Source organism: Homo sapiens, chromosome 14 (assembly GCF_000001405.40).
Source record: "Homo sapiens chromosome 14, GRCh38.p14 Primary Assembly".
NCBI classification, from domain to species: Eukaryota; Metazoa; Chordata; class Mammalia; order Primates; family Hominidae; genus Homo; species Homo sapiens.
The window spans coordinates 26672298-26699618 of NC_000014.9; the positions used below are offsets into that span (position 1 = coordinate 26672298).

Here is a 27321-nt window from a genome sequence, read left to right on the forward strand (position 1 = left end):
AAATAACTTTTTATTTCAAAATAGTTTAAGACTCACAAGAGTTGAAAACATTAGAGTTCTCATGTATTCTTCACCCAGCTTCTCCTAGTGATAATATGTTACATAACCATAGCATACAGTCAAAACCAGAAAACTGAGTATGATAAAATACTATTAGTCAGGTACAGGCATTATTTGGATTTCACCAGTATTTGCATGCGCCCTTTTTGTCTATTTGTCTGTTTGTTTGCTTTTGGTTTACAGTTCTATGGCATTTTATCACAGCAGTAGACTCAAGTCACCGTCACCATATTTAAGACACATACTTTTCCCCTCATTCCCAATTTGGAATTTTTGTAGAATTAACATTCAGAATTTACATTGTTAGGACCATAAATACTGTTCATTGCTGAGCTACATAGTGACTGTACATGCTGTAGTACAACTTTTTCTAAAGTTTATGTAGTCTATTGCTGTTTTTTGTTTCTATTTCTGTTTCCTATTCTTTCAAGCCAGAAGGAAAGGGAGAACAAGTCTGCTGGAAGTGTAAGACATCTTTTTATCTTCGCTGTATTCTATTGGTGAGAAACAGGTACCAGGTTCCATCCAAACTCAAAATGAGGAAATGATAAAATAGCAGCAGTTGAAGATCACAGGGGTCACCTTACAGTCGGTTTGCCGCATATTTGTTTCTTTCTTTTATTCTTTTCCTTGATATCTGACATGTCTAACATACATTCCACTCTGTATTAGCTAACATACTAGCCAATATAGTAAAGCATTCTTTCTCCCAGGTTAAATACATCAATTATTTTTACTACTTCTTCTTTCTAGAACTCTGTCAGCTTACTCCTCCTCTTACTCCAAGCTGGGCTGTTGCTTTCTAGGCCTGCTGTACAACCGTTATCCTAGGATTTTCACTTACCATCTAACATGGGATTCCCTTTGCCCAATACCTGCTTTGGATCCCTTTTTCCTGAACTCTATGTTTTTTCTCTTTATTATTTCAATCTCTTTAAGTTCAGCTCCTGGTAGTTTCTTTTTTTTTTTTTTATACTTTAAGTTTTAGGGTACATGTGCACATTGTGCAGGTTAGTTACATATGTATACATGTGCCATGCTGGTGCGCTGCACCCACTAACTCGTCATCTAGCATTAGGTATATCTCCTAATGCTATCCCTCCCCCATCCCCCCACCCCACCACAGTCCCCAGAGTGTGATATTCCCCTTCCTGTGTCCATGTGATCTCATTGTTCAATTCCCACCTATGAGTGACAATATGAGGTGTTTGGTTCTTTGTTCTTGCGATAGTTTACTGAGAATGATGCTTTCCAATTTCATCCATGTCCCTACAAAGGACATGAACTCATCATTTTTTATGGCTGCATAGTATTCCATGGTGTATATGTGCCACATTTTCTTAATCCAGTCTATCATTGTTGGACATTCGGGTTGGTTCCAAGTCTTTGCTATTGTGAATAATGCCACAATAAACATACGTGTGCATGTGTCTTTATAGCAGCATGATTTAGAGTTCTTTGGGTATATACCCAGTAATGGGATGGCTGGGTCAAATGGTATTTCTAGTTCTAGATCCCTGAGGAATCGCCACACTGACTTCCACAATGGTTGAACTAGTTTACAGTCCCACCAACAGTGTCAAAGTGTTCCTATTTCTCCACATCCTCTCCAGCACCTGTTGTTTCCTGACTTTTTAATGATTGCCATTCTAACTGGTGTGAGATGGTATCTCATTGTGGTTTTGATTTGCATTTCTCTGATGACCAGTGATGGTGAACATTTTTTCATGTGTTTTTTGACTGCATAAATGTCTTCTTTTGAGAAGTGTCTGTTCATGTCCTTCGCCCACTTTTTGATGGGGTTGTTTGTTTTTTTTCTTGTAAATCTGTTTGTGTTCATTGTAGATTCTGGATACTAGCCCTTTGTCAGATGAGTAGATTGTGAAAATTTTCTCCCATGTTGTAGGTTGCCTGTTCACTCTGATGGTAGTTTCTTTTGCTGTGCAGAAGCTCTTTAGTTTAATTAGATCCCATTTGTCAATTTTGGCTTTTGTTGCCGTTGCTTTTGGTGTTTTAGACATGAAGTCCTTGTCCATGCCTATGTCCTGAATGGTATTGCCTGGGTTTTCTTCTAGGGTTTTTATGGTTTTAGGCCTAACGTTTAAGTCTTTAATCCATCTTGAATTGATTTTTGTATAAGGTGTAAGGAAGGGATCCAGTTTCAGCTTTCTACATATGGCTAACCAGTTTTCCCAGCACCATTTATTAAATAGAGAATCCTTTCCCCATTGCTTGTTTTTCTCAGGTTTGTCAAAGATCAGATAGTTGTAGATATGCGGCATTATTTCTGAGGGCTCTGTTCTGTTCCATTGATCTATATCTCTGTTTTGGTACCAGTACCATGCTGTTTTGGTTACTGTAGCCTTGTAGTATAGTTTGAAGTCAGGTAGTGTGATGCCTCCAGCTTTGTTCTTTTGGCTTAGGATTGACTTGGCGATGTGGGCTCTTTTTTGGTTCCATATGAACTTTAAAGTAGTTTTTTCCAATTCTGTGAAGAAAGGCATTGGTAGCTTGATGGGGATGGCATTGAATCTGTAAATTACCTTGGGCAGTATGGCCACTTTCACGATATTGATTCTTCCTACCCATGAGCATGGAATGTTCTTCCATTTGTTTGTATCCTCTTTTACTTCCTTGAGCAGTGGTTTGTAGTTCTCCTTGAAGCGGTCCTTCACATCCCCTGTAAGTTGGATTCCTAAGTATTTTATTCTCTTTGAAGCAATTGTGAATGGGAGTTCACTCATGATTTGGCTCTCTGTTTGTCTGTTGTTGGTGTATAAGAATGCTTGTGATTTTTGTACGTTGATTTTGTATCCTGAGACTTTGCTGAAGTTGCTTATCAGCTTAAGGAGATTTTGGGCTGAGACAATGGGGTTTTCTAGATATACAATCATGTCGTCTGCAAACAGGGACAATTTGACTTCCTCTTTTCCTAATTCAATACCCTTTATTTCTTTCTCCTGCCTAATTGCCCTGGCCAGAAATTCCAACACTATGTTGAATAGGAGTGGTGAGAGAGGGCATCCCTGTCTTGTGCCAGTTTTCAAAGGGAATGTTTCCAGTTTTTGCCCATTCAGTATGATATTGGCTGTGGGTTTGTCATAGATAGCTCTTATTACTTTGAAATACGTCCCATCAATACCTAATTTATTGAGAGTTTTTAGCATGAAGCGTTGTTGAATTTTGTCAAAGGCTTTTTCTGCATCTATTGAGATAATCATGTGGTTTTTGTCTTTGGCTCTGTTTATATGCTGGATTACATTTATTGATTTGCATATATTGAACCAGCCTTGCATCCCAGGGATGAAGCCCACTTGATCATGGTGGATAAGCTTTTTGATGTGCTGCTGGATTCGTTTTGCCAGTATTTTATTGAGGATTTCTGCATCAATGTTCATCAAGGATATTGGTCTAAAATTCTCTTGTTTGGCTGTGTCTCTCCCCGGCTTTGGTATCAGAATGATGCTGGCCTCATAAAATGAGTTAGGGAGGATTCCCTCTTTTTCTATTGATTGGAATAGTTTCAGAAGGAATGGTACCAGTTCCTCCTTGTACCTCTGGTAGAATTCGGCTGTGAATCCATCTGGTCCTGGACTCTTTTTGGTTGGTAAACTATTGATTATTGCCACAATTTCAGCTCCTGTTATTGGTCTATTCAGAGATTCAACTTCTTCCTGGTTTAGTCTTGGGAGAGTGTATGTGTCGAGGAATTTATCCATTTCTTCTAGATTTTCTAGTTTATTTGCGTAGAGGTGTTTGTAGTATTCTCTGATGGTAGTTTGTATTTCTGTGGGATCAGTGGTGATATCCCCTTTATCACTTTTTATTGTGTCTATCTGATTCTTCTCTCTTTTTTTCTTTATTAGTCTTGCTAGCGGTCTATCAATTTTGTTGATCCTTTCAAAAAACCAGCTCCTGGATTCATTGATTTTTTGAAGGGTTTTTTGTGTCTCTATTTCCTTCAGTTCTGCTCTGATTTTAGTTATTTCTTGCCTTCTGCCAGATTTTGAATGTGTTTGCTCTTGCTTTTCTAGTTCCTTTAATTGTGATGTTAGGGTGTCAATTTTGGATCTTTCCTGCTTTCTCTTGTGGGCATTTAGTGCTATAAATTTCCCTCTACACACTGCTTTGATTGTGTCCCAGAGATTCTGGTATGTTGTGTCTTTGTTCTCGTTGGTTTCAAAGAACATCTTTATTTCTGCCTTCATTTCGTTTTGTACCCAGTAGTCATTCAGGAGCAGGTTGTTCAGTTTCCATGTAGTTGAGCGGTTTTGAGTGAGATTCTTAATCCTGAGTTCTAGTTTGATTGCACTGTGGTCTGAGAGATAGTTTGTTATAATTTCTGTTCTTTTGCATTTGCTGAGGAGAGCTTTACTTCCAAGTATGTGGTCAATTTTCGAATAGGTGTGGTGTGGTGCTGAAAAAAATGTATATTCTGTTGATTTGGGGTGGAGAGTTCTGTAGATGTCTATTAGGTCTGCTTGGTGCAGAGCTGAGTTCAATTCCTGGGTATCCTTGTTGACTTTCTGTCTCGTTGATCTGTCTAATGTTGACAGTGGGGTGTTAAAGTCTCCCATTATTAATGTGTGGGAGTCTAAGTCTCTTTGTAGGTCACTCAGGACTTGCTTTATGAATCTGGGTGCTCCTGTATTGGGTGCATATATATTTAGGATAGTTAGCTCTTGTTGTTGAATTGATCCCTTTACCATTATGTATTGGCCTTCTTTGTCTCTTTTGATCTTTGTTGGTTTAAAGTCTGTTTTACCAGAGACTAGGATTGCAACCCCTGCCTTTTTGTGTTTTCCATTTGCTTGGTAGATCTTCCTCCATCCTTTTATTTTGAGCGTATGTGTGTCTCTGCACATGAGATGGGTTTCATGAATACAGCACACTGATGGGTCTTGACTCTTTATCCAATTTGCCAGTCTGTGTCTTTTAATTGGAGAATTTAGTCCATTTACATTTAAAGTTAATATTGTTATGTGTGAATCTGACCCTGTCATTATGATGTTAGCTGGTTATTTTGCTCATTAGTTGATGCAGTTTCTTCCTAGTCTCGATGGTCTTTACATTTTGGCATGACTTTGCAGCTGCTAGTACCGGTTGTTCCTTTCCATGTTTAGTGCTTCCTTCAGGAGCTCTTTCAGGGCAGGCCTGGTGGTGACAAAATCTCTCAGCATTTGCTTGTCTGTAAAGTATTTTATTTCTCCTTCACTTATGAAGCTTAGTTTGGCTGGATATGAAATTCTGGGTTGAAAATTCTTTCCTTTAAGAATGTTGAATATTGGCCCCCACTCTCTTCTGGCTTGTAGGGTTTCTGCCGAGAGATCCGCTGTTAGTCTGATGGGCTTCCCTTTGAGGGTAACCCAATCTTTCTCTCTGGCTGCCCTTAACATTTTTTCCTTCATTTCTACTTTGGTGAATCTGACAATTATGTGTCTTGGAGTTGCTCTTCTTGAGGAGTATCTTTGTGGTGTTCTCTGTATTTCCTGAATCTGAACGTTGGCCTGCCTTGCTAGATTGGGGAAGTTCTCCTGGATAATATCCTGCAGAGTGTTTTCCAACTTGGTTCCGTTCTCACCATCACTTTCAGGTACACCAATCAGACGTAGATTTGGTCTTTTCACATAGTCCCATATTTCTTGGAGGCTTTGCTCATTTCTTTTTATTCTTTTTTCTCTAAACTTCCCTTCTTGCTTCATTTCATTCATTTCATCTTCCATCGCTGATACCCTTTCTTCCAGTTGATCGCATCGGCTCCTGAGGCTTCTGCATTCTTCACATAGTTCTCGAGCCTTGGTTTTCAGCTCCATCAGCTCCTTTAAGCACTTCTCTGTATTGGTTATTCTAGTTATACATTCTTCTAAATTTTTTTCAAAGTTTTCAACTTCTTTGCCTTTGGTCTGAATGTCCTCCCATAGCTCAGAGTAATTTGATCGTCTGAAGCCTTCTTCTCTCAGCTCGTCAAAGTCATTCTCCATCCAGCTTTGTTCCGTTGCTGGTGAGGAACTGCGTTCCTTTGGAGGAGGAGAGGCGCTCTGCTTTTTAGAGTTTCCAGTTTTTCTGTTCTGTTTTTTCCCCATCTTTGTGGTTTTATCTACTTTTGGTCTTTGATGATGGTGATGTACAGATGGGTTTTTGGTGTGGATGTCCTTTCTGTTTGTTAGTTTTCCTTCTAACAGACAGGACCCTCAGCTGCAGGTCTGTTGGAATACCCTGCAGTGTGAGGTGTCAGTGTGCCCCTGCTGGGGGGTGCCTCCCAGTTAGGCTGCTCAGGGGTCAGGGGTCAGGGACCCACTTGAGGAGGCAGTCTGCCCGTTCTCAGATCTCCAGCTGCGTGCTGAGAGAACCACTGCTCTCTTCAAAGCTGTCAGACAGGGACATTTAAGTCTGCAGAGGTTACTGCTGTCTTTTTGTTTGTCTGTGCCCTGCCCCCAGAGGTGGAGCCTACAGAGGCAGGCAGGCCTCCTTGAGCTGTGATGGGCTCCACCCAGTTCGAGCTTCCCGGCTGCTTTGTTTACCTACGGGAGCCTGGGCAATGGCGGGCGCCCCTCCCCCAGCCTCGCTGCTGCCTTGCAGTTTGATCTCAGACTGCTGTGCTAGCAATCAGTGAGACTCCGTGCTGTGCTAGCAATCAGTGAGACTCCGTGGGCGTAGGACCCTCCGAGCCAGGTGCGGGATATAATCTTGTGGTGCGCCGTTTTTTAAGCCGGTCAGAAAAGCGCAGTATTTGGGTGGGAGCGACCCGATTTTCCAGGTGCGTCGGTCACCCCTTCCTTTGACTCGGAAAGGGAACTCCCTGACCCCTTGCGCTTCCCAAGTGAGGCAATGCCTCGCCCTGCTTCGGCTCGCGCAGGGTGCACACACCCACTGACCTGTGCCCACTGTCTGGCACTCCCTAGATAGATGAACCCGGTACCTCAGATGGAAATGCAGAAATCACCCTTCTTCTGTGTCGCTCAGGCTGGGAGCTGTAGACCGGAGCTGTTCCTATTCGGCCATCTTGGCTCCTCCCCCACCCCCGTATTATCTTAAAAATTAGTAAGTACGTGAGTATTTTCAGATCTTACAAGAGTGAACATGATTTAATTTTGACTTTTCATTTGATGCAGTATTTTGGCTACATAACAAATTCTAGGTTGAAAGCAGTTTTGCCTCAGAATTTTGAAGGCATTTTTCAATGTCTTCAGTCTTCCATATTCCTGCAGCAGAGAGCAATTTTATTCTGAAAACTGCATCCTTTTATGTAATCTCTGTAAGCTTTTGATATCTTATGTATGTTCTATTTTGAATTTTTACAGCATTGTGCTTGCTGTATCTTTTTTCATTATCTCTTCTTTTCAGTCAGCTTATTTTCTAATGTGGAAATTGCTTATTCATTTCTAAACTATTTTCTTATATTGCTTCTTTGAAAACTTTTCTGTTTGTTTTGTCTCTTCTCACTTTGTGGAACTTTCATGAGAGGGAGGTTGAATCTCCTAAACTGATTTTATTTTCTTACAATTTATTTCTTATTTTCCATTTCTTTGACTTTTTGTTCAGTTTTCCAGGAGATTAGCTTGATTTTATTTTCCATCTCTTCCATTGGATTTTTAAACTTTTTGCTATGGCAGTGTTAATTTCTAATAGCTGTTTTGTTTTTTGACCTCTTATATTTTCTTTTTCATATCCCCTTGATATTATTTTATTGATTCAATGTTGTATGATCTAATGTCATTAATTGCTAATATTTTTGAAGTTTATTTCTTCCTAAAGTTTCTTTTGCCTTTTGTTGGTTTTAGTCTGTCTTTCCTATTAGAGGCTTTCCTTGAATATGTAATGATCCTAAGCTGACAGTTTTTGCCTTTTTAAAATTTTATTTTTAATTTTTGTCAGTACATAGTAGGTGTATATATTTACATGGCACATGAGATGTTTTGATACAGGCTGAGAGTTTTAAGCATGAGACACTAAAAATCTTTTTGGAAATTGTGTGTGTGGCTGAGGCTTGTCATTAAGTGGCTGCAATATAGGGTGATTGAGTGACTGATAGACTTTCTCATTGAGGAAACAAAAAATGTTAGTATTTATATGTCTTTTCTTTTGGATTGGTTGTTATTATTATTTTTTAGAGTCAAATCCTCCCTTCTTTTTCTTGGGGTTTGTCTTACTATCAGTAGCCTGGGATCACAGGGTAGGCTCTCTTTGCTCCCAATACAGAATTTTTTAGATTCCCTTGTTCTCAGTATGGCCACATGTTGGCCTGCAATTTTGCCTGGTGTACCTAGGTCCATAGCTCTCATGTCCAAACTCTCTAATTGGTTAACCTGATCTTCCTAGGTGGGGAAGAAACAGTCTCAGAAAGATGAAGGGGATCTTGTTTCAAACTCCTGAGGCAAATTATCCACCAAACCTCTTTTGTTCAGCCTCACCCTTCATGCTAGCTTTCAGATATATTTGGTGCTTCAAAATCCTGAGCTTTTTGAGAATTTCCTATCAGAATAAAGTTAATTCTCATTGGTATCATCCTTCTGCAGATATTTTTTATCTTTAAAAAAATCAATAAATGTAAAATAGCTTTTAATATGTGGTTAATAAATCAACCACACCATAGACTTTCTTGATAATTAAATTAAAAACATAAGACAGAGTAGGCTATTATCTGTTAGCCATTCATCCCATTGAAATTCCTCTGGATTTATTTGTATGCATTTTAGAATTTAGATTGTCCAGATTTATGTTATTTTAATGTGGCAAGTATAGTTTTCTTTTTTTTAGTATTTTAAAAACATGTGTTTAATTATTTATTTTATACTTTTAAGCTCAGGAGTACAAGTATAGGTTTGTTACATAGGTAAACTTGTGTCATGGATTTGTTGTACAGATTATTTCATTACCCAGGTATTATGCATAGTACCTATTAGTTGTTTTTCCTGATCTTGTCCCTCCTCCCACCCTCCACTCTCCAAAAGGCTTCAGTGCCCATTGTTCCCCTCTATGTGTCCATGTGTTCTCATCATTTAGATCTCAATTAAATGAGAACATGGGGTATTTGGTTTTCTGTTCTTGTTAGTTTGCTAAGGATAATGGCCTCCAGCTCTATCCATGCCCCTAAAAAAGACATGATCTGTCTTTTTCATGGCTGCATAGTATTCCATGGTGTATATGTACCACATTTTCTTTATCCAGCCTATCATTTATAGGCATTTAAGTTGATTCCATGCCTTTGCTATTGTGAACAGAGTTACAATGAACATATGCTTGCATGTGTCTTTATCATAGAATGATTTGTGTTCCTTTGGATATATACCCAGTAATGGGATTGCTGGGTCAAATGGTATTTCTGTCTTTCGATCTTTGAGAATTGCTACACTGTCTTCCACAATGGCTGAACTAATTTACACTCCCACCAACAGCGTATAAGCATTCCTCTTTCTCCACAACCTTGCCAACATCTTTTTTATTTTATTTTATTTTTTTACTTCTTAATAGTAGTCATTCTGACTGGTGTGAGATGGTATCTTGCTGTCATTGTGATTTTCATTTGCATTTCTCTAATAATCAGTAATGTTGAGCTTTTTTTCATATGCTTGTTGGCCACATGTATGTCTTCTTTTGAAAAGTGTCTGTTCATGTCCTTTGCCCACTTTTTATGGAGTCGTTTGATTTTTTTCTTGTAAATTTAAGTTTTTTATAGTTGCTTGATATTAGACCTTTGTTGGATGCATAGTTTGCAAAATTTTTCTCCCATTCTGTAAGTTTTCTGTTTACTCTGTTAATGGTTTCTTTTGCTGTGCAGAAGCTCTTTAGTTTAATTAGATCCCATTTGTGGATTTTTGCTTTTGTTCCAATTGCTCTTGGCATCTTCATCATGAAATCTTCCTGTGCCTGTGTTCTGAATGGTATTGCCTAGGTTGTCTTCCAGGGTTTTTATAGTTTTGGGTTTTACATTTAAGTCTTTAATCCATTTTTAGTTAATTTTTGTATACAGTGTGTAAAAAAAGGGTCCAGTTTTAATCATCTTCATATGGCTAGCCAGTTATCCCAGCACCACTGATTGAATAGGGAATCCTTTCCCCATTGCTTGTTTTTGTCAGGTTTGTCCAAGATCAAATACTTGTAGGTGTGGAGTCTTATTTCAGGGTTCTCTATTCTGTTCCATTGGTCTATGTGTCTGTTTTTGTACCAGCACCATGCTGTTTTGGTTACTATCACCCTGTAGTACATTTTGAAGTCAACTAGTATGATGCTTCCAGCTTTTTTTTTTTTTTGGCTTAGGATTGCCTTGGCTATTTGGACTCTTTTTTGGTTTCATAGATGTTTAAAATAGAATTTTAAAATAGTTTTTTCTAGTTGTGTGAAGAATGTCAGTTGTGGTTTAATGGGAATAGCATGAAATCTATAAATTGCTTTGGGCTGTAGGACCATTTTAATATTTATTCCTCCTATCCATGAGCATGGAATGTTTTTCCATTTGTTTGTGTCATCTGTGATCTCTTTGAGCAGTGGTTTGTAGTTTGCCTTATAGAGATCTTTCACCTCCCTAGTTAGCTGTATTGCTGGGTATTTTATTCTTTTGGGGGCAGTTATGTATGGGATTCATTCATTATTTGGCTCTTGGCTTGCTGTTGTTGGTGTATAGGAATGCTAGTGGTTTTTGCACATTGATTTGGTATCCTTAGACATTGCTGAAGTTTATCAGTTTAGGAAGATTTGGGGGACTGAGACAATGGGATTTTCTAGATATAGGATCATGTCATCTGCAAACAGGGAGAGTTTGACTTTCCTTCTTCCTGTTTAAATGCCCCTTATTTCTTTCTCTGGCCTGATTGCCCTGGCCAGAACTTCCAGTAGTATATTTAATAGGAGGATATCTACTTCTGGATTTTTTTTTAAGTATTCCAAAACAATCTTTATACTGAACAAATTCTTTTGCTGAAAAGCATTGATAGTTTTATGGTGCTAAATTATATTCTTTGAAAATAGGCTTTTGTTATCATGTGCCATCATATCTCATACTGTCATGTTATTGCTAACTTGAATTGCCTGGTTATTGAATATCTAAATTTCACCAGAAAAGTGTTTTTTATTCAGTGGAGTAAGAGAAAGGAGTAATCAAATAACCTAGTGTCCATGATGTATAATATAGGATCTGCAGCTATTGATCAACTTGAATGGATACTTATAGGTTTCCATGTGCTCAGGAACCAGCATTTCTCATGTGTTTCACCTTCATTAATCCTTTCCAAAAAAATTTTGTGCAGCACAGAGGAGGTTCCTCAGAGAATCCAGCTAATGCTGGTTGCTTCTTACTTAGAGAAGGTCTTAGATATGTGGTTCTCTTCCGAGCAATCTCATTAATCTTTTTTGTCATGGAGTGTTTAATTCCTGGGATAGTAATGTTGAGCTCACCTTTCACTGTTACTCCAGTCCATATGCCTAAGATTTTACTTTGTTCCATATGAGTATGTATTAACTTTTGAACTACCTCTACTAAGGTTTATATTGCTTAGATGGTTTTATATCTAATTTTCAGAGTCTACAGTTTCAAAAGCCCATAGTATTATTTTAATAATTATTAAGTCATTATTAATTAGTATTCCCGTTTTTACTATTATTAATCATTGTCACTCCTATTGAAACGTAAAGTTTTGTGTCACATATAGCTTTCAATTTACGTTTATTTTCTAACATCTAAGGAAGGAAGTAGACTAATATATAGTTTGGAATTTGCAGTAGCTAGGGAGTTAATAAAATAAAAACATTTCAATTGATCTTGCAGAGATAAATAAGATTAAATCAAACATAGAAAATGAAATGCAAAAAAAAAAAAAATCTAAAAGACACAGAACAGGCAATTGCTAGTTGCCTATCCAATAATGATTCTCCTATTGTTTAATAATAGAACACAATGTAATTAAGTACTTTATCTTTCAACCTCCCTTTCCATTGCCATTAGGGGTGATGACTTGACACAATTCTGGTCAATGAGATACACTCAGAAGTAGCTGTTTAAGGGAGAAAGGGCTACTTAAAGGGAACAGGCCTGCTTGCTTCTTTGGCCTTTGTCTTTTGCCCTTTATTCTTCAACTTTCCTGCCCAGAAGATAGACACCCTTGGAGGTAGGGTAGCCATCTTTTGATAGGAGAAGAGACTCCAAGACCATAAACACTTTCTTGAATAGTTGAATCCCCTTGATTTCCTTTTTATGTACTTTGATTACATGGAAAAAATAATTCCCCATTTGAGTAAGCTGTCCTTGTAGGATTTTCATTAACTACTGCTGAATTTAATTCCTAACCATGGAGACGTCCTCATGGTTTCTGAGGAGAGTCCTTTGCATGTTGCTTACATTCTACACTGCTGAGTGACACAGACTTCTGTGCTAAACTAATTTCCAGTGAAAACTATTTAGTATGATCTGTATCTCCTGAAGGAACAGTGGTTTTTATCTTTCATCTTACTGAAAACTTAGAAGTAATTGAGAGTCTTAAGTGGCTACATGACAAAAATGAGCTTCCTGCCATAATGTGTTCTGTTATCTGTAGTGTGTGGATAATCAGAGCCATAGATGGGGGTTTCTTCTTGCATTAATGAAAACCTTAGGGGTCATGCATGCAAAAGGGCAAACACACCTCACATCTCACCTCTAGCTAAATTAGGGCAATCTTCCAGCCTTTATTCTTCCAATCCTTGGCACTGTCTTCCAATAGTAAGCCTGCAAATCCATTTCAACCATGATATGTGATAAAACTGATGCTTAAAAATGAACCAATTATGCATGTATATAGGGTATATAACCGTTTAATGTCATTATCAATTTCCATAATTTATTCTACCTTTCTTTGGAACACTTAAAGCAAAAGTCTAACGGAATTTAAAGATGATATTTTCCAGAGTAAGATGTATATTAAAAATAATTTAGTTGTGCTGAACTTAGTGGTGTAAATACATTCTTAGAAATGGCAGTGCTAAATGAATTAGTGCTGTCTCAGTTAACATCACATGGTACTTACAGAATTGTATCTACAATGCCATTTATTCAAATCAATGTCTAGTTAGGGTTTGTTGGTTGATGACTTTATGTTTCTGCATTCTTTACAATTGTTTTAATGGTGGATTTTGCTAGGACTTGCATATGATTTACCTCAACCTGAGAATTTACTCACTCCACTCAGTAAAGCTGGCATTTTAATGCAACCCATGCAGTACCCATGATTGCTTATTCTTTGCAAAATAATGAAAGTGTCTTCAGATAATAGGATGTAATCACACTAAAAGGGACTTTTGTGTAGTAAACAAAATAAAGAGATTAGAAAGTGTAATGGAAATGGAAGAAAGTGCAATAAAGTGGCTAAGTATTCATTTGCATGAGAGTAAATTCTGTCATACTGGCTGATCAGTGTGATGAAGAATCCTAACTATGTAGCTGCGCTAAATAAAGTATTGCTGCAGTCATTCAAATGTGCTTAATATTTTTAAAAGCATTTTCACATTCATTTACTAAGACCCTTTTTTAAATTCCAAACATGTGTACTTCAATTTAATTTATGTTCAGTGTATCTGACTGTATTTTCATGCATTAAATTAATTTTACCTTTAAATATGTACTTGATTCTGCTTTTAGGCAACACAGAATAGCATGTGGCAAAATTACACTCCCACTGTGAACAACTACAAAACTGGACAAAATATATGATGCATCTGTTTTCTAGGATTGGACTATAGGCAGTGTAGATGTTTCTAAGAAGGGAAACATGCAAGGTGTACCCCAGGTTCATGGTGTCTTGCACAGGGCAGGACTGTGAGGCCTAGCTGACAGCACCTGCTCCAGGGCTGATAGCTAAAGGGAAATACCAGAGGTTAGGCAGTGCAGGAGATTTTAGTATTCAGGACCAGGCCGAATGACAAGGCCTTACACACCTGAGACATTTAGCTGATACTCAGAAAGGTCATATTTAGAAATAATCACTAGAAAATAAGATGAGGGCCAGAGCCTAGGACCAAGCTCTAAGTGACAATGGACCCTCTTTAACAAAGCATAAAACAAACTCTTCAGGATCAAGGGGAATCTGCCAGTAGTTTAACTGCTAGCCAGATCACAGCTCAACACCCTTTACAAGAAGACAGTATAATGCAAATAATTCAGTTGAAACCCATGAAGCAGGTCTGAGTGCTGATGGTAGCTGGGGATAGGAGTCAAGGGTTGAATAAGGAAGTGACCCTGTGTGAAGTTTTGATTCACAGGAAGAAGGTATATAAAAGATAGTGGCATGACAGAGGCTGGAACCCTCATGAGAAAGGCAAATTCTCAGGGAAGCAGTTTACTCCAGCAGTCCTGGATTGAAGGAGAGACTAAAGACACATGACAGCTAGATACAGCATGTGACCCTGTATTGGATCATTTCATAGAGGACATTACTGGAGCAGTCACTGAAACTCCAATAGGGCTTCTAGGTGAATCAAAACGGACAATTCTTGCAGCCTTTCTGCAAATTTAATTTTTTTTTCAAAATTAAAAGAAGTAAAAATAAAGACACATAACTTATCATTTTTTGAAAAAATAAAACCACACCCTTTTTGATAGTATCAGATCTGATAGTATGCAGAACTGTCACATAAATTATGTCATTTCTCTGCACGCCTGTAGTCCCAGCTGCTTGGGAGGCTGAGGTAGGAGAATGGCGTGAACCCGGCAGGCGGAGCTTGCAGTGAGCCGAGATCTCACCACTGCACTCCAGCCTGGGCGACAGAGCGAGACTCCATCTCAAAAATAAAAATAAATAAAAATAATAAATTATGTCATTTCTCAAGTTTTTTTTCCTGTAATGTCATTATGTCATAGCATAATATATATGTGCATTTATTCTCAATGAGCATGAATTTTAATCCTAGGTCTTAGAAATATATCTTTGTTGTACAAATGTAAATGTTTGTTTTAAATAATAGGTTAATAAAGTCAATAATTCATTTAGGGCCAGAACATGGAAGAAAATAAATTTGTAGCCAAAATGAAGTCACATTTAATGGCCACCCAGTGGGGGAAAGGAACATAAATCTCCCCAAAACACAGTGAATTGATGCCCAGGTGCTTGTTTGATGCATTGTAAGCAAAGCTGGCAAATGCCAGTGAAGCTTTTCTTAGAGGTTTCTAAGCCTTTGGAAGATGTTGCCAAAACTTGACTCAAGTCACTGGCAGGAAGAACAAGCTCTCGAAAACTACTTGTTGCCACTCCAAGGGCCATTTTAGGTTATTGGTGCTTATCCAGAAGATTCTCCTGAAGTGACCTTAAGGTACACGAAGCCCTATAGTGCCCTATTCTGAGCATTTGCACAACCTTCCCCTGTACAGGAAATGTCCCAGTGGCATTTTACAATGTGGAGGCAATGGCAGTGGCTGTGATGGTGTGTATGTGTGTGAACAGGGGCATTATGTGGGGGAATAATATAATTTGATTAGAATAACTGAGAAATTATCTGCCTTTGCTGGTACCTACCAGATAGAAGCTCTGAATCCAGAAGCCTCAGGTCTTTTCCTGTTGATTTATTTACCTCTTTCTGTGCTGAAACTTACCACACTTATAAAAAAAAAATCATTTTTTCTTGCATCTATTTGATTCTTCTTTCTTTTCTTCTTTATTAGTCTTGCTAGCGGTCTACCAATTTTGTTGATCTTTTCAAAAAACTAGCTCCTGGATTCATTGATTTTTCGAAGGGCTTTTTGTGTCTCTATTTCCTTCAGTTCTGCTCTGATCTTAGTTATTTCTTATCCTAAGCCAAAAGAACAAAGCTGGAGGCATCACACTACCTGACTTCAAACTATACTACAAGGCTACAGAAACCAAAACAGCATGGTACTGGTACCAAAACAGAGATATAGACCAATGGAACAGAACAGAGCCCTCAGAAATAATGCTGCATATCTACAACTATCTGATCTTTGACAAACCTGAGAAAAACAAGCAATGGGGAAAGGATCCTCTATTTAATAAATGGTGCTGGGAAAACTGGGTAGCCATATGTAGAAAGCTGAAACTGGATCCCTTCCGTATACCTTATACAAAAATTAAGATGGATTAAAGACTTACATGTTAGACCTAAAATCATAAAAACCCTAGAAGAAAACCCAGGCAATACCATTCAGGACATAGGCATGGACAAGGACTTCATGTCTAAAACACCAAAAGCAATGGCAACAAAAGCCAAAATTGACAAATGGGATCTAATTAAACTAAGGAGCTTCTGCACAGCAAAAGAAACCACCATCAGAGTGAACAGGCAACCTACAAAATGGGAGAAAATTTTTGCAACCTACTCATCTGACAAAGGGCTAATATTCAGAATCTACAATGAACTCAAACAAACTTACAAGAAAAAAACAACCCCATCAAAAAGTGGGCAAAAAATATGAACAGACACTTCTCAAAAGAAGACATTTATGCAGCCAAAAAACACATGAAAAAATGCTCATCATCACTGGCCATCAAAGAAATGCAAATCAAAACCACAATGAGATACCATCTCACACCAGTTAGAATGGCAATCATTAAAAAGTCAGGAAACAACAGGTGCTGGAGAGGATGTGGAGAAATAGGAACACTTTGACACTGTTGGTGGGACTGTAAACTAGTTCAACCATTGTGGAAGTCAGTGTGGCGATTCCTCAGGGATCTAGAACTAGAAATACCATTTGACCCAGCCATCCCATTACTGGGTATATACCCAAAGGATTATAAATCATGCTGCTATAAAGACACATGCACACATATGTTTATTGCGGCACTATTCACAATAGCAAAGACTTGGAACCAACCCAAATGTCCAACAATGATAGACTGGATTAAGAAAATGTGGCACATATACACCAAGGAATACTATGCAGCCATAAAAAATGATGAGTTCATGTCTTTGTAGGGACATGGATGAAGCTGGAAACCATCATTCTCAGCAAACTATCGCAAGCACAAAAAACCAAACACCGCATGTTCTCACTCACAGGTGGGAATTGAACAATGAGATCACATGGACACAGGAAGGGGAACATCACACTCTGGGGCCTGTTGTGGGGTGGGGGGAGGGGGGAGGGATAGCATTAGGAGATATACCTAATGCTAAATGATGAGTTAATGGGTGCAGCACACCAACAAGGCACATGTATACATATGTAACAAACCTGCATGTTGTGCACATGTACCCTAAAACTTGAAGTATAATAATAATAATAAAAAGAAAGTATAGGTAATTATAACAAAAAAAACATAAGCAACTTTTCACTAATATTGTTCAAAGGGCAATGTTAACTATGAAAAATTTATGAAGAAACAGAAGACATTTTAATTAAAATATGTAAAAAGAGGTGTAGGAAAAAAGAGCCAAACAATAAATGCTGCTAAAAATTCTAATTTGAATACTTTTGGACATGTACATTATTTTCATTTCCAATTCCAACATTTCTACCATGCATTGTTAAAATAAGATTCTCTCAGAGGGAGTCTCTCGTGGGCCCTAAGCCAGCTATCAGTTCAATTCACAACACAGTATCGTTCTTGTTCTCATCTACTTCATTTTTAGTTGTTCATTTCTGATTCGTACTGAGTTGCTTATGGGGGCTTCACTGCTGTTTATACTCATCATGTAAAGATCAGTTGCTGTTTTCATTGCTTTCAAACTCCTAATTTTCAAAACAGCTGAGCAATTCATGTCTTTCTGTGGAGTATGGGGAATGGCTTCCCTGCCTACTTTATTTGCCCCCTGTCCCCTAGGTCACACGTTTCATTTAGTATATACCTCTATGGAATTGATCCTTATCATGAAAGCAATACTTATGTTTATGATGAAATAACTCTATAATATATGAAAGCAAACAATGAAATTTCAATTATGCTAATAGGCCTCAAGTCATCTTTTGATTATTTTTTAATTTTAACTTTAGGTGCAATACATTGTATTATTCGTTATTACTAGTTCATGACATATTACTTTATTATTCTTCCTATAAACACTCATACACACACACAAACACATATGCTTTTATATAAAAACAACCCAAGTTTAAATTGTTTTCAAGCAGTTTGGCGACAATGTCCTCCTTGTCTTCTAACTCACTCCAATTATGTTTATGCTTAAGATTCTGTGATGCTTTTATGCTAAACCCAGAGTGTACATTGTCCCATATACATAACTCAAATATTCTAGGCCTTATAGCTTGTGACTGTAAGGAAGAGAGCACTTTCTTTTTACACTCAAAGTGTAATGGGATGCTTTCCCATTGGACGACTGCCTACAAGTAGCATCCTCAAAGTGTCTCCTGATAATTTATGAGATTCTCTCAGAGGGAGTCTGTCTTGGGCCCCAAGCCAGCTATCAGATGAATTCACAACAGTATCCTTTGAGTTCTTTTCTACTTCAATTTTTACTTGTTTACTTCTGATTTGTTCCGAGTTGCTTCTGGAAGCTTCACTGTTGTTTATATCCATCATGAGAATCAGTGTAAAGGTCAAAGTCATTGTTTTAATTGCTTTCAAACTTCTAGTTCTCAAGACACCTGAGCAATTCATGGTTCCATGTGGAATATGGCGAATGGCTTCCTTACCTACTTTATGCCCCACTCTGTCTCCTAGATACAAAGCAGCTTTACTTGTGCCCCAAACTTCAAGATATTTTCAGATCCCACCTCAATCTCTCTATCCATAGAAGTACTAAAACAATCCCAAATAATAGGTTGAGGATAGATACCATGGAATCCCCTGTGTCCTTCTCCTCCCTCTCCTGATGCCCTGACTCCAGCCAAAGTTCCCCTATCCTTTTCTACTTACAAAGTGAAAACTTCTGCTTGTCAATGGAATCAAATGGATACTAGTCATTGAGAACATAGGTGTTCTTTACATTAGTAATTCCTAGCAGTTAGTATGGTTTCTAGTTTCTAGTTACTCAAGTAGCCATTCATCTCCAGCTCAACTAGCTAACAAAACTCCCTCAATACAAAATATTTTCAAAGTATGATTTAGCAGTACAAAATCTTAAAAATAACTCTAGTTTGTCATTCCTAGAGAGAATGTAACATCCTGACAAGAAAGCCAGAAAGAACATACAGTTTCTGTATTTCTATGCAGGATTATACCTCAATAAGAGTCATAAGAGTAAGGTAAATAATGAGTACAATAAGTTTATATTTCTTATTACTCTAGGAATCTCTATGGCACTGCCCTGCTTCCTTTCTACTAGGTTGGAAAAGATGAATGAATGAAAAGATGCTGCTGCCTCAGAGCTTTATCTCCAACCCGAATGGCAGCTGGTTTGCATAATTTGAGGATCATGTTATTGGGCAAGTTACTATCTTTTGTGAATCACAGTGCTTATTCAGGACATGCCTCTGCAGGATTAGAGCAGAGCAGATATCCCAGCTCAGCCCCTACCCTCAAACTTCTCTTAAGATACCACATTTGAAACCTGGAAGCTTCTGGTTACATTAGAAGTATATCCAGCTCACAGGGGAAAGAGCAGTCATGGCTGGTTCTGGCAATTTAATATCAGAAAGTTGTAGATGGGCAAAGAATGGGATGTCTACTAAAGACCAGTGAATTCAAACTTGTTCATGAAGGTGTCTGCATTAGCTGAGCATTTCTTGTTGAATATTTACCTAGTGGATAACAATTACTATGTTGCTACTATATACCAGGTACTGTCCAAGGTAGGGACAAAGATGACTAAGGTAAAACAAAATCTGAAGTTACCAGTTTTAGAAATTTTGTGGCAACGGTATGGAAAGTGGAAAGAAAGAGTGTGGTGAGAGATACAGGGAGATCTAGTTGGCCATTGAAATATCCAAACAAGTCGTGATGAAGGTGGAGACAAAATGTAGAAGACTGAAGAGAATAGAGCTGAGAGATAATTCAAAGAAAGTGTTGACATAATCTATTAGGTATGATGAATAAGGGAGGTGGAGAAAATAAGATGGCTCCTAGGATTTTAATTTCCTAACTGAGTAGATGCTGGTGTCTTTTCTTGAAACAATGCTTTAGGAAGTAAAGTGGTTTTCTGTAATGATTGTGGTTAAGGCAATTAAAAAACATGGAATAGATCAATTGTAGGTATTGTGAGAACAAATAACTTGGTAATTGTGTATACGTGTGTGTGTGAATGTGAGTGGCAAAAATAGTGAATAATTTCCTGTTGTTTAGTGTCAATTTATGGACAAATTACCATTTGTCTAAAGCTCAGTAAGGTTTAGCTGCTCAAGGAATATTTTCCTAATGGTGTTAAACTGAAAGCAATGAGCAGTGAGTGGTGTGTGTCTACCAGGAAATAAGCCCCAAACCAGGTTAATAACATAATATGATATCTTGCTTGAGTGTACCTGTTACCCATAGGACTAGGCAGGTGCATCAAGAGATTGTACAGAGAGAAACAGATGTGTAGAGAGTGAGGCACATGTATATGGTCAAATTTTGTATATATCACAATGTATTAGTGAGATTGTTCTTTAATCCTAACGTCTATTCATATCTGAGTCCTAGAGGTCTAAGAAAAACTGAAAGAGTGTATCTACTATGCACTCTAGAGAGTACTGACAGCACGAGTGTCACTCAGAGCAAGAATGCAAGAAATTTATACACCTCAGCAGAGAAAACAGCTCTGGCCTGGATTGCTTTTGGCATTTGCTGGCTGAGCCAATAGCTTCCATATTAAGTAGCTCCAGAAGCTTTGGCAGCAGCAGAAAACCTCCACTGATGCAGGTGTCTTTTCTCTTGGGCTTGGAAAGAGACACCTTGGCACATGCTGGCAGCCTTCACCCACAGTGTGGGCAATGGCAAAATAATGTGGATAGGTATAAACAATAGTGTCACACCATTGCTGCTCATCACTGCAAGAAGCCTGAGCCGTGAGGGAAAAATGGCCAATACTGCATGATGACTGAGAAAAGATGGTTAATGAGCACATGTGATGTGCTTGCTTTCCTGATGATTCTTTTACATTGGGGTGAGGTTTGTGGCTTTATTTAGTGTGTGTGTGTGTGTGTGTGTGTGTGTGTGTGTGTGTATACATATATATAGAGAGAGAATATATATATATACTGTGTATGTGTGTGTATATATATACACTATGTATGTGTGTATATATATATTATATATATATATACTATGTGTGTGAGTGTGTGTGTGTATATATATATATATATATATATATATATATATATATATATATATATATAAGTTTTTACTATGACATTGCTAAGCACATGAGGCCACATAAAATTGTGAACATTTCGTACAGTCTTATTCTCTGGAAAGTATTTCACTAGTTTGTGATTGTAGCCTCAGAATAAAATGGAAACAATGCTTTTCACAAATTACATTACACATATCAGAATTGCTAACATTTCTTCTAATATCCCGAAGTAGCAGGATTTTACAACTATGTCATTTTCCTTCCTGTATACAATTAGGTGACACTACTATTATTTTTCTGTGCTGTCAAACCTCAGTTTTCTTGATTTCTGTGCACACCAAAACTATCAAAAGAATGTTATAATGCATGAGACACTTTTAGAAATGTCAATGGCCATAAATACTTTCAAAATGGTGAAAGTTTTTTTCACTGAGTACTCTTTGTCTAGGGAAAACAAAACCAAAACCAAACCAACCAACCAACCAAAGAAACAAAAACCCTACAAGGTCGGGTGTGGGGGCTCACGCCTGTAATCCCAACACATTGGGAGGCCCAGGTGAGTGGATTACTTGAGGCCAGAAGTTTGAGACCAGCATGCTCAACATGGTGAAATCCCCTCCCTACTAAAAATGCAAAAATTAGCCACATGGGGTGGCACATGCCTGTAATCCCAGCTGCTCAGGAGGCTGAGGCAGGAGAATCGCTTGAACCTGGAAGGCGGAGGTTGCAGTGAGCCGAGATCATGCCACTGCACTTCAGCCTAGGTGACAGAGTGAGACTCCGTCTGAAAAACAAAAACCAAACAAACCAAAACCCTACAAAAACAAAAACAAAACAAAACAAAAAATCCTAAGATAATTGTGCCCCAGTGAGGCATAAACAGTTTTGACTCCAAATGGGTCTCTTGCTTTGGTGAAGTTACACCAATATGACTTCTCATGGCCATTGATATGAAGAAACACCAGTGTCACAGATCAAGCCAGCAAACAGTTTTGAAAAGAATAGTGTTTACTGTTATGAATGAGATCAATTTCCTCCAAGCCAGGTTTTTAAATCATTTTCTTTTCAAGAAGTTTTGTCATAAATTCAAGTATAACAAAAAAAAAATTTTTAAGTCCCAAGAGGTTTGCCACCTTTTTAAGTGCTTGATTCAATTTTAAGTAGAAGTTTCACTTTTGAGAGAATGAGGAAGTTCATTCATAGAAGAACCTCACAGGGAGAAGTACACTCAATGGTTGGCTTACTTGGTAGATATTTTGGTCCAATGAATAAGGCATTATCTTCTGATTTAAGGTCCTGCCATTTGCCTGCAAATGCTTTTGTAAACAAGGAGTTCTTTTGGCCCTTTTTATTCTGCTAGAGGAGGATAGGAGCTGTGGAACATACACACTTTTCAATTTCAGAAGTTCTTCTAGAATCCGGAGTTGAGAGTGACAGTTTTGTCATTTTATCCATTGGCAGAAATATTTGGATATATCAAAGTACTGAAAAAACGTGTTTGGAAGTTACCACTGCTCTGATGACCTTAACTTTGAAATATGGATTTATTTTATTTTCAAGCTGAAATAGACAGGATCAGTGATGCAGTACTTGCCAAGGATGACCTTACTGACTGGGGAAAATGATGTGAGTAGAATTTATCAGAAGGGTCCTGGAGAATGCGTTGTGTTTGTTTTTTTTTTTTTCACACAATTCTATCTTTGAGGGGCAAAGAGGGTAATGCTAATTTTAATTCTGTATAATATGACAATGTCATCTTATTCAGGGAGCTAGATTTTTCACTATTTCTTGCTGCCAAGCAACAGCAAAATCAGAAATCCAGTGAGCATCCAAGATACATTCTCTGTGCCATGTCAAAGAAAACTAAAATTTTTTAATCAGCTTCTTTGAGATTTCATATTGAGGAGAATTATTTTTCTTTTTGTTTCCACAATGCAATTTCTTTCCATTTTATTTCAGAAAGTGGTCATCAGTTTTTGCCTGAAAAATGAGAAGAATTATTGAATCATAAAGTAAAAAAAATTGCTTAAGTGAAAAAGTCAGTTTATAATGAAATAAAATATATGCATAAATATATGTATATGTGCTCATATTCATATTGTTGATTAAGGGGCTCTGGCTTTCATAAATTTTACAAACAAATCTAGTGACCTTTGCAACAATGAAAACAAAAAACCCCACTCTACTAAACTAGATCCCTAAAAAATTTCCAGCTTTAATATCCCATGATTCTGTTTCATAATATAGAATTAAAACCAGACTTCAGGGATCTAGAACTAGAAATACCATTTGACCCAGCCATCCCATTACTGGGTATATATCCAAAGGACTATAAATCATGCTGCTGTAAAGACACATGCACACGTATGTTTATTGCGGCATTATTCACAATAGCAAAGACTTGGAACCAACCCAAATGTCCAACAATGATAGACTGGATTAAGAAAATGTGGCACATATACACCATGGAATACTATGCAGCCATAAAAAATGATGAGTTCATGTCCTTTGTAGGGACATGGATGAAATTGGAAATCATCATTCTCAGTAAACTATCGGAAGAACAAAAAACGACACCGCATATTCTCACTCACAGGTGAGAATTGAACAATGAGAACACATGGACAGAGGAAGGGGAACATCACACTCTGGGGACTGTTGTGGGGTTGGGGGAGGGGGGAGGGATAGCATTGGGACATATACCTAATGCTAGGTGACGAGTTAGTGGGTGCAGCACACCAGCATGGCACGTGTATACATATGTAACTAACCTGCACATTGTGCACATGTACCCTAAAACTTAAAGTATAATAATAATAATAATAATAATAATAATAAAGAAAAAAAGAGAAAAAAATAAATTAAATAAAATAAAATAAAACCAGACTTCAATCAGAACTTAATCTGTGTTTGGTCTAACACACACACACACACACACACACACACACACAAAATAAGCATTGTATCAGTTTGCTAGAGCTGCCATGACAAAATACCACAGACTACAACAGAAATTTCTCACAGTTTTGGAGGCTAGAAGTCCAAGATCAAGGTCTTGGAAGGTTTGATTTTATTCTGAGGACCCTCTCAATGGTTTGCAGATGGTCACCTTCTTGCTGTGTCCTCATGTGGCCTCTTTTTCTGCGTATCCACACTCCTGGTGTCTCTGTGTGTGTGAATTTCTTCTTCTATAAGGAGGAAATTAGACTGGATTAAGGCCCATTCTAAGGACCATATTTTAACTTAATCACCTGTTTGAAGAACCTTATCTCCAAATATAGTCACATTTTGAGATACTGAAGGGTTAGGACTTCAACATATAAATTTCAGGAGGATGTGATTCAGCCCATAACAAGTATCCTCTCAGTGCAAGGTGAGGATGGCTTTGGTGAAGTCTTCAATCATGGACTTTCTTGGATAGGAAAGAAGAAAGTTTATGCATGATATTAATAAGAATGCCAGAGATGTAAGATGAGGTCAAGAAAGTTACAGAAGTATACAAATTAAAAACTTTCAAGCAGGAGGATTTAATTCTCCATGTAGAATGATGAGAAGTCAGGTAAGCTAAGTGTAGCAGTTGTCTACTATCTGACAAATGTCATAATAAAAATAACACATCTTAAAAAAAGTTTTCAGAACAACCCAGTTTTCTATTTATTTGTCTAATATTATGGAGGGAATTTATCACCACACCGAAATTTCTGAACTTCTTGTCTACTTCTTCTCTCAGTATATCTGCCCTTTTTTGAAACATCTTCTCAAATTTCCTTCACCATCTGTAGCTCTTTGCCTTTCATCTTACACTCTGCCTCTTTCTCCGTGACCCTACATCGTAAAATCTAGAACTCTCTTCAAAGGAAAAGTAAGAGAAACGAAGAGGTCAAAACCAAAAACCTTTGGTTGGGGAGGGAGAATGCCTGATAATACCTACAAGTTAATTATTTTTCATTTGTCACATGAATAACCTGCATTTTGGAAAATTGAAGATTGTTACTATTGTTACTGATCTTCCCAAAAATGGCTTCAGTGAATGGGATTAGAGGCTTCATTAGAATGGGAAGGGTCATGCTGGAACTGAGGCATTGAAAAAGAATAACAATTATTCTTTCCAGATGATAACTCCTAAGGAACTCCTGGATAGAGAAATTGCCAGAGGGAAGCTAGAGGGACATGCAGGGTACAAGTTTTTATGCTTAGAAAGATTTGAGTAGATTTGCATTCTGAAGAAAAGAGTCTATTGAAAAGGAGATGATGGTCATTTGGGCAGGAAAGGGAAGACTTGATGGATTATTATCCCTGAGAAGGAGATGAGATAAAATTTAGCTAATCTGAGAAGGTCTGAAAGGAAGATAATTTTTTTTATAGCAGGAGTGAAAGTTTATCAAAAAGTTTTAGAGCAGGAACAAAAGAAAATATACTTGAAAGAGGGACAAGTGGGCCACTTGATTCACATGTGTGGTTTGAACTTTGACTCAGGGTTTTATATGTTGGCTTGCTTCTGGGGGTTGCATCCCTTCTCCCCTGATTCTTCCCTTGGTGTGGGCTGTCCACATGCACAGTGGCCTGACAGCACTTTGCAGGGGCTGCATGTTCAGTGTGCTTACTGAAGTTGTGCACATGCTCACTTGAGGCATTTTTCCTTTACCAGTTGAGTGTTCCTAAAGGAAGGTCATACACCAGTTAAACTCCATGACTTTGCCTCCACTCACCCAACTTCTGACTTTTAGTGGGAAGGTGCTGATCACCAGTTTCAGAAAACCAAACACTGCATGTTCTCACTCATAAGTGGTAGTTGAACAATGAGAACACATGAACATATATTTTTAGGAAGCAAATTGAGGCACTTAACTCCTGGCAGACTGTATTTTTCAGGGAAGTAGGAAGAAACGTTCCTTCCAGCAGGAGGAAGACTAGAAATCTTGGGAAGACTAGTGAATATTTGGAATATATGGGGAGACCAATAGGAGAGGAAATCAAAGTTTTGACTCTAAATAATTTTAGTTTTGAAAGTAGAAAATAAAATGAATCCAGTCATCTTAGGGCAAGAGTTGCTTTTCTAGTCCTGTAAGTAGCTGAAAATGATACTCAAGTAAGAAATACGAAGATGAACTACATTTTCATTATGAAGATCTATTTGTCATGTATAAGTCCTTGAATTAAACTGTTTCAACATGAAAAGCAAGGAGGTATCTTAAGGCTCAGCAGATTTTGTCTCCCCTTTTCCTTTGTTAAAAACTACCAAATGTAGTAATGTTAGTTGCCATAACAATTGTGAGAACTTCTCATTTCCTTCAAGTGTAGGCAAATGGAGGGTGTCTGCTGTATTTTATTTTTATGGCCCTACTTTCAGGCAGTGTCAGCTGTTTTTAGATTGACAATAAAAATCCTTATTGCTGGGAGAATTATATTCCTTAAGTTTCTTTTCTCAGCTTTTCCATTTTCCTTTGTAGAACTGTTAGAGAGTTGGAACAACTCCACTGAAGCTTAAGCATCCAGTGTCATCAGTGGAGAGTGGGACACAGACTGCAGATGCAGACAAATTGTTGTTTGTTTCTATTGATTTCCCAGTGTTGCAAGAAATATGGCCATAGAGTTGTTTGTTTTTATAACTACTTCTTATATCATAGTAATGTTATTCTGTAAAATTCTCAAGCATACGGTTATATTTTTAACATAATTTCTCTATCTTTTGGCATAAAGAATAGCATCAGAAATGTGCATAAGTCTTTACCCACTTTTAGACATTTTGGAATCTTAAGCAGACCACTTAATTATCAGTGTGTGACATCATTCTTCCATCAGTTGTTCCATTCCTCAGCACCTGCTTATTGAATGCCCACACGTATGCCAGGTCTTATGCTGAGGTTTTGGAGATGTAGAGATGAATGCATAAATCCAGTTCCTATTTTAAAATTTAGCCTCCATTTCCTCCCCAGGATAGTCATGTATAATGGTATATATGTACTCAGATTTAATATTACAGTTAGCTTAGGAAAACAAATCAAAAGTGTCTTCTATGCATCCTCAAAGATCCACTTGGGGAAGCAAATCAGAGGGTCTTCTATGTACACCAAACATTGCACGCCATGAGAAAGATGCTGTTCTTGACACATC

At 37.7% G+C, this 27321-nt stretch overlaps 1 long non-coding RNA gene across 1 annotated transcript in view, besides 1 other annotated feature; it reads left to right on the forward strand.

Annotated features, from left to right (window-relative positions):
* The window catches only part of NOVA1-DT (NOVA1 divergent transcript), a 207821-nt gene that overhangs the window by 73651 nt on the left and 106849 nt on the right, over positions 1-27321 (forward strand). The window lies entirely within an intron of this gene.
* Positions 5880-6625: an enhancer, noted in NCBI's record as "OCT4-NANOG-H3K27ac-H3K4me1 hESC enhancer chr14:27147383-27148128 (GRCh37/hg19 assembly coordinates)". NCBI's record gives its function as "activates a minimal SCP1, AML or CMV promoter by ChIP-STARR-seq in naive H9 embryonic stem cells {active_cell/tissue: H9 hESC(naive)}" and the evidence as "EXISTENCE:reporter gene assay evidence [ECO:0000049][PMID:30033119]".